At 46.2% G+C, this 14,678-nt stretch overlaps 1 non-coding gene across 1 annotated transcript; it reads left to right on the top strand.

The window, feature by feature from the left end:
* The first annotated feature begins 5,234 nt into the window (after nt 1-5,234).
* Nucleotides 5,235-5,306, top strand: TRC-GCA12-1 (tRNA-Cys (anticodon GCA) 12-1). Its single transcript has one exon. It is a non-coding gene; the product is annotated as a tRNA-Cys (tRNA).
* The last annotated feature ends 9,372 nt before the right edge of the window (nt 5,307-14,678 follow it).

The raw sequence follows: 14,678 nt of genomic DNA, 5'->3' as shown, positions 1-14,678 counted from the left end.
AGATTTTTTTTCCTGGAAGATTTTATTACAGCTTCAATCTCGTTACTTATTATTGGTCTGTTCAGGTTTTGGATTTCTTCTTGGTTCAATCTTGGTATGTTGTATGTGTCTAGGAATTTATCCATTTCTTCTAGGTTTTCCAATTTATTGGCATATAGGGTTAGGTTAGGGTTAGGCTCATAGTAGCCTTTATGATCCTTTGGAGTTCTACAGTATCAATTGCAATGTCTCCTTTTTCATCTCTGAGTTTATTTATTTAGATCTTCCCTATTATTTTTCTTAGTGTTGACAACAGGCCCTCAAATCTGGCCATAAACTGGCCATAAACAAAATCTCTGCAGCACTGTGACATGTTCGTGATGGCCATGACACCCACGCCGAAGGTTGTTGGTTTACCAGAATGAGGGCAAGGAACACCTGGCCCACCCAGAACAGAAAACCACTTAAGGCATTCTTAAACCACAAACAATAGCATGAGCAATCTGTGCCTTAAGGACATGTTCCTGCTGCAGATAACTAGCCAGAGATCATCCCTTTATTTCGGCCCATCCCTTTATTTCCCATAAGAAATGCTTTTAGTTAATCTATAATCTATAGAAACAATGCTTATCACTGGCTTGCTGTCAATAAATATGTGGGTAGATCTCTGTTCGAGGCTCTCAGCTCTGAAGGCTGTGAGACCCCTGATTTCCCACCCCACACTCTATATTTCTGTGTGTGCATCTTTAATTCCTCTAGAGCCACTGGGTTAGGGTCTCCACAACTGAGCTGTTCTCGGCAAGTGGCGCCCATATGTGGGGCTCGAACCCAGGTGGAAGAGTCACCAGAGCGATGGTTGGAGAGCGTGGAACTAAGCTGGAGGACACCTGAGTACTCTTAAGCAATCCCTGTGGTGAGGAAGAAGGGGAGCTTGGGAGCATCAGGGTAACAATGGGACAAGTGTGGGCTCTGGTTCATTCTACCTTGAAACCTTTCCACACTGATGATCAGGAAGAAGAAGAGTATAATTAAGTAACAGAGCAGATTTGTTTGCCAGCTAAAGGTAAAGTGGCAAAGGAGGAAGAGGTTCATCCCTACCCTTCTGCACCCCCTCCTTATTTTGAAGAAAAAGAGTGGTGTGACCCTCCAGATCTTTCTTTTCCAGAGGACACTGGTTGAAAAGTAGTTGCCCCAGTGACTGTTCGAGCAGCACCTCGAGCAACCGCTCTCAGTTCTATTGAGGCAGGAATTCAGCAAGCTAGAAGAGAGGGTGATATAGAGGCCTGGCAGTTTCCTGTTAGAATATACCCCCCAGATCAACAAGGAAATATTATAGCTACATTGAGCTTTTTCCTTTTAAATTACTCAAAGAATTTAAACAAGCTATTAATCAATATGGACCAGGTTCTCATTTTATAATGGGACTGTTAAAGAATGTTGCTGTTTCCAGTTGGATGATTCCTACTGACTGGGATGCTCTTACTCGAGCTTGCCTAACTCCTTCCCAGTTCTTACAGTTTAAAATTTGGTGGGTAGATGAGGCTTCCATTCAGGCTGCTCACAATGCCCAGGCCCAACCTCAAATTAATATAACTGCAGACCAACTTTTGGGGGTCAGTGGCTGGGCTGGTTTAGATGCACAAGTGGTTATGCAGGAGTGTGCATTTGAGCTTGGGAAAAAATCACTTCAGGTGGAGAACAATACCCTTCCTTTAGTGCTATAAAACAGGGACCTAAAGAACCATATGCAGATTTTATAGCTCGGTTACAGGAGTCTCTTAAAAAGGTGATTGCAGATTTGGCTGCTCAGGATATAGTGTTGTGGTTATTAGCTTTTGACAATGCTAATCCTGAGTGCCAGGCTGCTCTGCGACCTATCAGAGGGAAAGCACATTTAGTTGATTATACCAAGGTCTGTGATGGTATCAGAGATAAACTGCATAAGGCTACTCTGCTAGCCCAGGCAATGGCAGGACTGAGAATGGGTAAAGGAAATACTCCGTTTCCTGGAGCTTGTTTTAACTGTGGGAAGCATGGTCATACTAAAAAAGAATGTAGAAAAAATCAGCAAGTCAGACCACCAGATAGGAGAAAAAAGAAAACTGCTGAGCCTGAAATATGTCCAAAATGTAAAAAAGGAAAACAATGGCTAATCAGTGTCACTCTAAGTTTGATAAAGATGGGAATCTGATTTCGGGAAACGCCATGAGGGGCCCATCCCGATCCCCATTCCAAACTGGGGCATTTCCGGCTCAGGCCATTTCCTCACCCCTGTACAATGTCTGTCCCCCACCACAGCTGGTAGTGCCACAGTAGATTAATGCTGCACAAAAGCTGTGAGCCTTCTACCTGGGGAACCCCTGCAGAAGGTCCCAACAGGAGTCGGTGGACCCTTGCCAGCAGGGATGATAGGATTACTTCTAGGAAGGTCTAGTTTAAATTTAAAAGGAGTACAAATACATACAGGAGTCGTTGATTCAGATTACAATGGGGAAATTCAAACTGTTATATCTATTTCTGTTCCCTGGAAAGCAGAGCCAGGAAAGTGTATAGCACAGCTCCTAATTGTGCCATATGTGGAAATGGGGAAAAGTGAAATTAAACAAACAGGAGGATTTGGAAGCACAAATAAACAAGGCAAAGCAGCTTATTGGGTGAATCAAATTACTGATAAACGTCCTACCTGTGAAATAACTATTCAGGGAAAGAAATTTAAAGTTTTGGTAGATATAGGAGCGGACATTTCAATCAATTCTCACTGGCCATCTGCATGGTCAATTCAACCTGCTCAATTTAACATAGCTGGAGTTGGTAAAGCCCCTGAAGTATACCAAAGTAGTTATATTTTGCATTGTGAAGGGCCTGATGGACAACCTGGGACTATTGAACCAATTCTAACTTCTGTACCTATAAATTTATGGGAAAGAGATTTATTACTACAACAATGGGAAGCACAAGTTCTAATTCCAGAGCAATTATACAGCCCTCAAAGTCAACATATGATGCATGAAATGGGGTATGTCCCCGGTATGGGACAAGGAAAAAAATTTGCAAGGTTTGAAGGAACCACTTCAAGCAGAAAGACAAAGTTCCCACCAAGGTTTAGGATATTATTTTTGGTGGTGGCTATTGTTAAGCCTCCAGAACCTATACCTTTAAAATGGTTAACAGATAAGCCAATTTGGATAGAACAGTGGCCGCTAAGTAAAGAGAAACTGGAGGCTTTAGAGGACTTAGTTAATGAACAATTAGAAAAAGTGAGAGACAAGACTAGCTGGATTTCCTAGGCTGACTAAGAATTCTTGAGCCTAGCTGGGGAAGGTGACCGCACCTACCTTTAAACACAGGGCTTGTAACTCAGCTAACACCCGACCAATCAGGTAGTAAAGAGGGCTCACTAAAATACAAATTAGGCTAAAAGCAGGAGGTAAAGAAATAGTCAAATCATATATCGCCTGAGAGCACAGGGGGAGGGACAATGATTGGGATATAAAACCCAGGCATTCAAGCTGGGGGTGGCAAAACCCCATTTGGGGGCAACCCACTTTGGGAGCTGTGTTTTCACTCTATTAAATCTTGCAACTGCAAAAAAGAAAGAGAAAGAAAGAAAGAAAGGCAGAAAGAAAAAGAAAAACACTGCATAGTGCCCTGATGATCCTTTGCAGTCCCAGTGAATGTTTGGCTTCAGCCTTGCTGTCATCACTCCCACAGTTCCTTGCCTTCATCTGCTACACCCTTTTAGATGATCGTCCTTTCCCTGCATCCTCAGGATCTGTGTGGTCTTTGGGTCTTATAGTAGAAATTTCCAGGGAAAAGGTCCACAGAGACAGAGATCCTGGTCCTAATACAGAGGATACTGGAGGCCTGAGTTTTGGGGCTCATACAGCCAGCCTTTGTGCCTGGCCCTGACTCTTCCAGTTGTGTTGAGCTACTAGTTTGTGGCCTGCATGAGGCTGGGACCCCTCTGGTAAGGTGTCTTCCTTTTAAAGACAAGGACTAGTAAATGAGGAGCTGGAAGAAGAGCCAAAAGTTAAAAAAAATGTAGGACTAAGCCCAAAGTACCTCACTGTGCAGAGGATGAAAGTGAAGTGGAGAGAGAGTATGGGAAGTTTGTTAGAGAAAGTGAAATTTAGGAGACAGAGAGGAAGCTTCCAACTCTAAACAATTGTGCAAATGGTTGCCCCACACAGGGACTGAGGAGGAGGCTGCAGGATTCTAGGCAGGAAAGATTTCTAGAAGTCCTCTGATAGGTCCATGGGGAAGAACAGGGTAAATTCAAAGCCAGATAGAGGTCTGTCTGAATGAGGTCATTTGCCAGTGGTTCACTGAAAATGATGAGAAATTACAATGTCTATTAGATCCTTGGGTGTGGGAACATAGGTGAAACAGTGTCAATCAGGAAAGTCTAAACAGTTGAGAGGGCACCTTTTGGGGGCAGAGCATCTGGCTGCATATCAAGTAGTCCCTGGTTCAAGATGGTGTCACTTGTTGACCCTTCCTTTCACTCTGCCCACGTGTTTGCAATCACTGCGTCCTGTGTCATGTCCCAGTGACCACAGATTTCTCTGATTCTCCACTTCTCCACTTTTCCATGGATTGGATCCTGTCTTCTGGTCACTACTTTTATCTGACACATCGTGGGATTCAGCGAATGGGGGAGAAGAGGAAAGAAGAGGAAAGGAAAAGGCAATTCAACTCCTGCCTCAGAGTGTTCAGTGCAAAGAGGCCCTTTATCATGAATGTGGATTCTAGTCATGACTTGGTCATTAATCAGGTGCGTTTTGTTTGGGCACAATTTGAATTACTATCAGTTTTTCCAGATCTGTACCGTGGAAGGGAACAGTTTAAACCAGGAGCCTCAAACCATGTGTCAGAGTGGTATAGGAGGTTTGTTAGAATCATGTCATCCAAGTTCTGTTCCCAGAGAGTCTGGCTTAGGAGTCCTCAAGTGGGGCCCAATAACTTTTGCTTTTACCCAGCTCTGCCCAGACCAGCTTCACCTCCAAAGGGTCTGTTGAGCAACCAGTTCTTTGAGTCCTGCTTCTCTAGGTGAGTCTGAAGGATGTTCTGTCTGCAAACCTGTGATTTTAATAGAATTAAAGAAGGAAGAATGCTGGTTACAAGTAGAGCTGGCAGGCAGGTGTAAAATAGGAAAGGGGTATATGGTGACAGAGCAAGTATGCATCTCATGATGGTGACAGCCAGGGGTGTGGCCATACAGGTTTATAGTGGTTAGTAGAGACAAGTAAGTGGGTGGGGGTATAGCTTAGGGGTAGAGCATTTGACTGCAGATCAAAAGGTCCCTGGTTCAAATCCAGGTGCCCCTTCTCTAGTTCACTTTTTTTTTTTCTTTTTGAGATAGAGTCTCACTCTGTTGCCCAGGCTGGAGTGCAGTGGTGCGATCTCGGCTCACTGCAACCTCCTCTCCTGGGTTCAAGCGATTCTCCTGCCCCAGCCTCCTGAGTAGTTGGGATTACAGGCGCGTACCACCATGCTCGGCTAATTTTTGTATTTTTAGTAGAGATGGAGTTTCACCATGTTGGCCAGGCTGGTCTTGAACTCCTGACCTCAGGTGATCCGCCCCCCTTCGCCCCCTCAAAATCATGAGATTACAGGCATGAGCCACCACACCTGGCCCCCTATTTCCTTTTCACTCACTGAACATGATAGGATGTTCTACTCTTAGCTTTTCTTCAACACATGGATCCATTCTGCAAAGCAGGAGAGAGAGGAGGCAGGTCAGGTCTTCACTAGAAAGCTCCCCCTGACACCTGAAGCTCCAGAGAAACCCAGTTTCTTGAGAGCTAAATCAGTGCTCATAGGTCTGGGGTGAACTTTTTTTTTTTCTTGCATATCTCAACCCTCTTAATTTCATTTGGGGAATTCACAATTGTGTAACTCTTGGTGGAAGACAAGATCCTGTCTCTGGTTAAGGAAAACAATAAGATCAGATATTTCCTCCCCCCGATTGTTGGTGTGTGAGTCGGGGTTCTTCAGAGAAAATAGAACCAATAGGGTGCATGCGTGTGTGTGTGTGTGTTTGTGTGTGTGTGTGTATACGTAGAGATTTTAAGGAGTTGGATCATGCAATTGTGGGGGCTGGCAAGTCTGATACAGGACATGGCAGCAGGCTGGACTTGCAGGAAAGAGTTGAGGTTGCAGCTCGAGTCCAAAGACAGCATGGAGGCAGAATTCCTTCTCAGGGGACAGCAGACATTTCTTCGTAAGTCCTTTATCTGATTGGATGAGGCCCACCCACAATTTGGAGGGTAATCTGCTTTACTCAAAGTCTATGGATTTAGTGTTAATCACCTCTAAAAAATACTTTCATAGCAGCATCTAGATTGGTTTGGACAAATATCTGGGAACCATGGCCTAGCCAAGTTGACACATTTAAAAACTTTTTTTTTTTGAGACAGGGTCCTGCTCTGTCACCCAGGCTGGAGTGCAGTGGCATGATCTCTGCTCACTGCAACCTCCGCCTCCTGGGGCTCAAGAAATCCTCCTACCCCAGCCTCCGGAGTAGCTGGGACCACAGGTGCGCACCACCACGCCCAGCTAATTTTTGTATTTTTTGTACAGATGGAGTTTCTCCATGTTGCCCAGGCTGGTCTCAAACTTCTGGGCTCAAGCAATCTGCACACCTCGGCCTTCCAAACTGTTGGAATTACAGGCATGAGCCACTGTGCCCTGCCAAGACATAAAATTAACCAGCACAATTGGTAATGGCTAATGTTTGGCCAACTATATGCCCCTAAACATTAGACTATGAATGTTGAGTAAATTGTACATAAAAGGCAGGGCGAATTTGGAATCCATTCTGGAGATGGCAGAGCTCTGGCAATGGCAATAGGGCCAGAGGCTGCAGCCAGCATCCATCGTGGAGACAGTGGCGGCTCCCTAGCCAGGGTGGGCTGAGGTCCTGCTTACTTGATGAGCCTGGCTCTGCAGGCTTCTCTGAAGTGCATGAGCTTCTTGCCATCCTGTCAGCGATGTCCCTGTCTCCACTCACCTTAGATGGCTTCTTCTTTAATCAAAGTGCCCTGGCTGGTACCAGGGATGTGTAAAAAGTGATTTCAGGGAAATGAAGGGAATGTGGATTGGGAATCTGGCCTCATTAAACTTGAAGGTAATGAAAATCTAGGTAGTTTGGGGGGATAGAAATCCAGAAGCCCATATCAGATTGTAGAAAAGTTGAGTAACTTTTGCCTGCAGTTCCCTCAGGGCCAATTTGTAGTTCCCAGATTATAAGTGGCCTTTGGGCAGGGTGGCTGGTCCTACCAGTTTAAACAAAGCAAATAGTCAGCTCACCTGTCACCCTGTATGATCTGTTCCACGTAGACTGAAACACAGGCCTTTTTCTGTCTGTATCACAAAACTGTCTGATCTCTTGCCACCGAATAAGCGAAACAGCTGAAAATGAGAGCCAAGGCTGATCCCTGTGGGTGCCAAACTTTGATGTCCGTGGAATTGGCAGCTTCCCTCACTCTCCCAGCTGAAAACAGGTCAGTGATTAAGAGAGTGGAACTTCAGGAATTGTAAGGTGGACTTATGGGAACATTTGGAAGACTTGATTTATCCCAAATCACCAACTCTACCTAATGTCCAAGGCTGCCCCTTCTTCCTGCCTGAAAGCCGACCAGCCCAGAGGGAAGGGTTTTCACTGCAGGAGATCAATTTCCCCACCCCTCATTGTCTCTTGACCTACGGTGAGAGTAAGATCTCAGCTGAGCCTGGGCACCTGTTGCTGAGAGACGAAGATTCACACACCAAAATGATTTCCAACTGACTAATGTATGTCAGCAAAAACCTCAAGAACATATGTAGATGTGGATTCTTGGAGTATTTTATAAAGTAGAAAGAGTATAATTTTAAATGAGTCTGAATTTTTTTATTAGGAGGGTACCCAATTAAAATTCTATTTAAAACACCATAGCTGGAGCAGCTGGGATAAACCTGTTTGCTCAATTGGTGGACCTAAGCCTGGATTCACAGGAGGCCAATTCTAAATGCATTTGAGATACTAGGGATTTCTTGCTATAATGTAGAAAGAATCCATAGACTTCAGGGGGTAGGTAAGCTGGAGTGGATTTATCACATGTAACTTGCCCTGGCTTGAAAAATACATAGATGTGTGGCACTTCTACATTCTTTTTTTTTTGGGACGGAGTCTCACTCTGTTGCCCAGGCTGGAGTGCAGTGGCACAATCTTGGCTCACTGCAAGCTCCGCCTCCTGGGTTCATGCCATTCTCCTGCCTCAGCCTCCTAAGTAGCTAAGACTACAGGTGCCCGCTACCACGCCCGGCTAATTTTTTGTATTTTTAGTAGAGACGGGGTTTCACCATGTTAGCCAGGATGGTCTCGATCTCCTGACCTCGTGATCTGCCCGCCTCGGCCTCCCAAAGTGCTGGGATTACAGGCATGAGCCACCACACCTGGCAGCACTTCTACATTCTTGAAAATAATTTTGGTAGCCATTCTGTGTGGACAGAGATGCTAGTGAGAGGGATGATAGTGGAAAGGGAGCCCCTGATTTCAGTGGGGCTGGGAGGATTCTAGGGTGTCAGAGGCCAAGCACTGTGATACTTTACCCCGAAGTGAAGTTTGGGTGTTATTCCGTGGTCTGTGCCACACAGGTCTTGGCTGTGACTCATCAGTGGTAAGGATTTTCGGCCGGAGAATGGGGAGCCCATCGTGGTCCCCTAGACGTGTAGACCTGAACTACCACCATAGCTGGCACAATGGAGGTTCCTGACCTCTGACCCATTCCCCAGGTCTGAATCTGCTCAAAGAACCTGCCTCCCTTGATGATAGGGAAGCCAAGCTTGAGAAAAGGACTCTGCCAAAATATCCAGTCACGGACAGTGAATCCTTCTGCCCGATTTCCCATATTAGGCCCTTCAGCTATTTGCCTGGAAACTACATGGAGGAGTGGGAAATATCCACATAATTTGGGATTATTGGTGGCTCTGCTGCATCTGTGAAGCTCCTGGAGATCCAGTAATTTGAGTAACATCAGAATATCCCAGAAAAGACCACATCCTGCACCTTGCCCTGGTTGCCACCACCATCAGAGGTGGCTTGAGAGACCACAGTTACTACCCATGGTGTGCTGCTCCCACCCGAAAGGCTTTGTATAGGGCCTAGGGCAAGAGAAACCCCTCCAGCTGGTGGCAGGGGCAGTGCAAGCAGCCCTGCCACCTGGCTGTTCTGACACAGCTGGTCTTGGGTGCATGGAGGGTCTCCGGCAGATGGAGATGCTGTCTGACATCTCCAGCGAGCTTGCGTAGGGGAATTCATCACTCAGACTTTGGTAATCAAGTGAGTGAGACACAGAAATGAAAAGAGTTTAGAGTTTATTTTGCTGGTGCGGTAGCTCTGGCATGGATCCAGTATGGAGTCACTCTCTTTTTTCCCCTACACCTTAATGCTCAGAACAGTGTGAAGTCTCTCTTCACAGCCCGTTGTGCCGGTGTGATTCTGACTAAAGCCTGGCTGCCAAGTGCCTCTGGGATCCTGCCCAACTCCTAAGCCTCTTGTTCCAGGCTTTCTTTCAGTGTTAGGAACTGCCTGACAACAGTCACCTTGTCTGTTTCAGGTAGTCAAAGCTAGCTTCTGGTTTTGTACCCAAATTTTCTTTTCTTTCTTTCTTTTTTTTTTTTTTGAGATGAATCTCGCTCTGTCGCCCAGCCTGGAATGCAGTGGCACGATCTCGGCTCACTGCAATCTCCGCCTCCAGGGTTCACACCATTCTCCTGCCTCAGCCTCCCGAGTACTCTGGGACTACAGGTGCCTGCAACCATGCCCGGCTAATTTTTTGTATTTTTAGTAGAGACAGGGTTTCACCATGTTAGCCAGGATGGTCTCAATCTCCTGACCTCATGATCCGCCCACCTTGGCCTCCCAAAGTGCTGGGATTACAGGCGTGAGCCACCGCACCTGGCTGTGTACCCAGATTTTCTACCTGCTACATAAGTTGGTGTTAGGAGTGGGTTTCAGGCAACAGACCATTATGAAAATGGTATTGATTATCCAGACTGGCTGAGGCTAAATTTGGAGGCAATCCAGTTAATCTTTGGGCCTGGGAATATGGTATAACCTATAGCCCACACTGGCAAAATAACTAAGAAAATTACTGCTAGTGGTCATCTGGAATGAAGTGCCCACTAGGGACCAGGCTTCCAGATACACATTTGCTTCTTGTTATTGAACTGGAAGCTGGCAGTGTAGCTGATGTACTGGGATAGCTTAGAGAAAGAAACAACAAAAAGTCCAATGAAAAGAACCAAAATCTCTCCTTTCTAGCAGCCATGAGGCTTAGCAGAGAGCCAAAGGCAGTGTTTGATTCTGCAAGATTGCTCAATTACAGCCTTCCTAGTGTGAACATCTAGGACTCTGGGCCGGGTGCGGTGGCTCATGCGTGTAATCCCAGCACTTTAGGAGGCCAAGGTGGATCCTTGAGGTCAGGAGTTTGAGATTAGCCTGAACAACATGGTGAAACTCTGTTTCTAGTAAAAATACAAAAATTAGCTGAGTGTGGTGATGGACACCTGTAATCTCAGCTATTCAGGAGGCTGAGGCAGGAGAATTGCTTGACCCCAGGAGGCAGAGGTTGCAGTGAGCCGAGATCATGCCATTGCACTCCAGCCTGGGTGACAGAGCAAGACTGTGTCTCAAATTAATTATTTAATTAATTAAAAAGAACATCTAGGGCTTTGATCTGGAAAGAGTGAGACCCCCAGGAATGGTCACGGGGATCCATGGAAGATTTGTAGAACCCAAACTATACCTAACATGAAGTCTTCTGCACCTCCTCTGCCAGCTAAAGACAGCCCTGCTTCTCCTGCTGCCCCTGTTCCAGCGCTGCTCCGCCTCTTACCTCACCACACCCTCTGTTTTTCTTTTGATCTATAATTTGAGAAAATCTTAGCATACCAACAGAGTCAATTACAAAGTCACACCTTGAAGGTAGAGGCTTCAACACAAAAATAATCACGACTATTCTGATTTATAGCACCAAAAATCTGGGGAATGTGTGCAGAAGTGATTTCTCGACAGCACTTGTCTAAGGAGGGTGGAAACAGTTAAATTCTACTGCATTTAGTGCTGTTGAATTCTGCATTTGATGTCTTACTTGGAGCAGCTGGGGATTATTTTATTATTTGCTCAACTTGCTGATTAAAATCAGAAATCAAAATTGTTCAAAGACAGATGAAATTGAGATGCCAGCAAACCCCTGAACAGTAACTCTAGACTTTTTTTTTTTTTTTTTTTTTTTGAGAGGGAGTCTTACTCTGTCACCCAGGCTGGAGTGCAGTGGCGCGATCTCGGCTCACTACAACCTCCGCCTCCAAGGTTGAAGCGATTCTCCTGCCTCAGCCTCCCAAGTAGCTGGGACTACAGGTGCATACCACCATGCCTGGCTAATTTTTGTATTTTTTAGTAGAGGCAGGGTTTCACCCTATTGGCCAGGCTGGTCTCCAATTCCTGACCTCGTGATTCGTCCGCCTCATCCTCCTAAAGTGTTGGGATTACAGCCAGTGAGCCACTATGCCTAGCCAACTCTAGAGTTGAAGAGACTGGAAAGGTCAAATGTACTAAATTCATGTGACATGCCATCACTCCCAGCCCCATAGCTTCCACCAACACAATGGCTAGGAGAAAACCCCTTCAATACATTATTTAGAAGCACTTTATTTACTGGAGCTCTGGCATCTTTGAGAACCATTTTAATTGCATGTCTTTGTCAACCAGTGACAGACGCTATAGCTAAAATGAATTCTCTACTTCAAATTGAGGATGAAGGGGAAGAGGCTAGAAGTTGCCCTTGACCACCACATGTTGGGTGGCAGTGGCTGCCTTCATAGCTTGCAGAGCCACACACAGTGTCCGTTCAAATGGTCTTCTCATGGAGTTCTCAGCACCTATACAGAATGTGTGTCTATGCAGCTTTTTTTTTTTTTGAGATGGAGTCTTGCTCTGTCACCCAGGCTGGAGTGCAGGGGCGCGATCTCCGCTTACGCAAGCTCTGCCTCTCGGGTTCACGCCATTCTCCTGCCTCAGCCTCCCGAGTAGCTGGGACTACAGGCGCCCGCCACAGCGCCCGGCTAATTTTTTGTATTTTTAGTAAAGACGGGGTTTCATCGTGTTAGCCAGGATGGTCTGGATCTCCTGACCTCGTGATCCGCCCGCCTCAGCCTCCCAAAGTGCTGGGATTACAGGCGTGAGCCACCACGCCCGGCACAGCTTTTTTCGTTTTTACAAAGAGCACTACAATGACCAACCATGTATGTACATTTTTGCACACTCATATGAGACAAAGCAAATGCAGATATTTAAACATTTTTATTGCCAAGCAGCCTTCCAGAAAAGATACCCCAATTGCAATTCATCCCAGCAGCCCCGTATGAAAGTACCTACCACCTTTTAAAGAATTACAATAATTTTGATATAAAAGGAAGATAAATTCAGGGATATGCCTGCTGTTAAATTCAAAATTCTTATGCTTACAGAACAGGACAGGGGACAACTGCTAAGGGAGAAAGGCAGCTCCCAACAGAAAGGGAGCTGACGGGACAGCACCAAGGAGCTGGGCCTGGGTCAACCCTGTGGCAGCAAGCACTTCAGTCCTCTGCCCAAGGCTGTGCATTTTAAGTTTGGAAGAATAGAAACAGACCTCTGAACAGGAGTTATTTTGCTGGTGTGATTATAGGAGTATTTGTTTTCTTCCTGATTTTTATTTGTGTTTCCTAAATGTTCTATGTATTTTTAAGTCAACAAGCATTTGTTGAGAATCTATAATGTACTCAAGAAGAGGCCAGGAGGTACTGACATGAGATTTTCAAGAAAACTAGTATTTTTTCTTTTCTTCTTTCTGTCTTCTTTTCTTTTTCTTTTTTCTTTCTCTCTCCCTTTCTTCTTTCTTTCTCTTTTTCTCTTCTTTCTTTCATCTTTTCTGTCTCTCCTCTTTCTTTTTCTTTCTCTCTCTCTCACTCCTTCTTTCTTTCTCACATGGAACTTGTCTGTGTAATAAGAATTATTGAATCCATTCCTAACAGATCTTTGCCACATCATCAGTAGCCCCCGGGGTGGCTGAGATCCTGGCATCCATGAGGCGTCTTAGGTGCTCGGATGGTCTGGCAGTGGCATCCCTCACTACAGGTTTGCCTGACAGAGAAAAGGTGCACACTCTTCAGTGTAGTCTGTCCTGCTGCCAGGGAGGCCAGGGCTTGGGCAGGACAAAGAGAGAGTCCTTAGTCCTAGTTCAGAGGCCCTTAGGGCCTGGTCTTTAAGTCCTCCAGATATCCAGGCTTGGTGCCTCCCCAGCTGTGCTGACCTGCCAGTGTGGGGCCTCCTGTGAGAGATGGGGCTGCATCTTGGCCTAGCATGGAGATGGCAGCCTTTCTGGACAAATGTCTCCCACAGTGTCAAGCAAGTCTCTGCAGACCCTGCCAAGTCTTGGCCATAGGATGAGGGAAGAAGACCGCAGAGGAGTATATGGTAGAGAAACCCAAAAGCACATCCAGTGGTCCTGGGGTGAGGGAAGTGGTGGTGACCCCAGATGGGTACTGAGGGAGGGAAACCTTAGGTCAGGGCGGAGGAGACTTCTGGAGTTCACAAGAAGCACAGGACAGGGTGAGCTCATGGCCCAAAGAGGCAGTGTGTAGTGAGATCAATCTGCTGGGTGCCAGGGGTAGACTAAGAGCAGCAAATGGAAGTTACAGTGTGCTGGAGTCTGTGGGTGAGGCCACAGTGGTCAATATGCTAAACCTAAGTTACAGCAGAGAGAAAGTGTAGCTCAGGAGTAGAGTATTTGACTCAGATCAAGAGGTCCCTGGCTCAAATCCAGCTGTCCCCTAGCTCTGATGCTTTTATCCCCTGAGCCAGCTGTTGTTCTGAAAACTTAGGAGGAAGGCAACGGGCGCTGCCACCCAGCCCTCTGGTGCTGACTCAGTCCCTCTCTTGTGGCTTGAGGTGGATGTTTGTATTATTATATGACTTTAGGAACCCAAAATAATGTGAGTCTTGGGGGAAAGCATAGCTCTGCAACATGCTACATCAAATAGGTGTGCCAAATACTCCCGCTTCGACCTCGGGTGGTAAGGACCTGCTCAGATGTTGAATGTGGACTGGACGATGTGCAGAGCAAGGCTGATAAGCTGCATCCCAAGATGGCAGAGCTCTGGTCTAGCAACAGGGCTAGCAGCTGCATCCAGCATCCGGCAGGGCTGCAGTGACCCCTGGCCAGCACACTCTCTGCTGTGACCTTGCCGTGATTCTAGGTTCACACCTTCCCATCAGTGCTGTGAGCTCCTGGTGCTGTCAGCGATGGTTTCATCTGTTTCCATTAGACAAAGTCAGGTTCTAGTTTTGTGCCTGTGTCTGTGCCTAGAACAGAAATTGGTACCAGGTGTGATTTGCAAGCAAGAGATCCTCAGAGAAATGGGTATGTGGGAGGACACTGGAGTTGCCAGATCTAGTTGTACTGAAGTCAATAAAAATCCAGCTGGTTCTTCCTGGATGGGAATCCAGCAGACCAGGGCTCACAACAGCGGAAGAGCTACATACACTGGTGCCTGTGATTGGCTGCAATGGAGCCCATTGAGGGCAAGAGATCCAGCTGCCATAAAACAGGAGAAGCTACAGGTAGGGAGCCGATTCTAATGCATGGAGAACTACTAGGCTAGAGCAAAGGCCC

The sequence above is a fragment of the Homo sapiens genome, chromosome 7 (assembly GCF_000001405.40).
Source record: "Homo sapiens chromosome 7, GRCh38.p14 Primary Assembly".
NCBI classification, from domain to species: Eukaryota; Metazoa; Chordata; class Mammalia; order Primates; family Hominidae; genus Homo; species Homo sapiens.
This window is presented reverse-complemented; position numbering and strand designations above follow the sequence as displayed.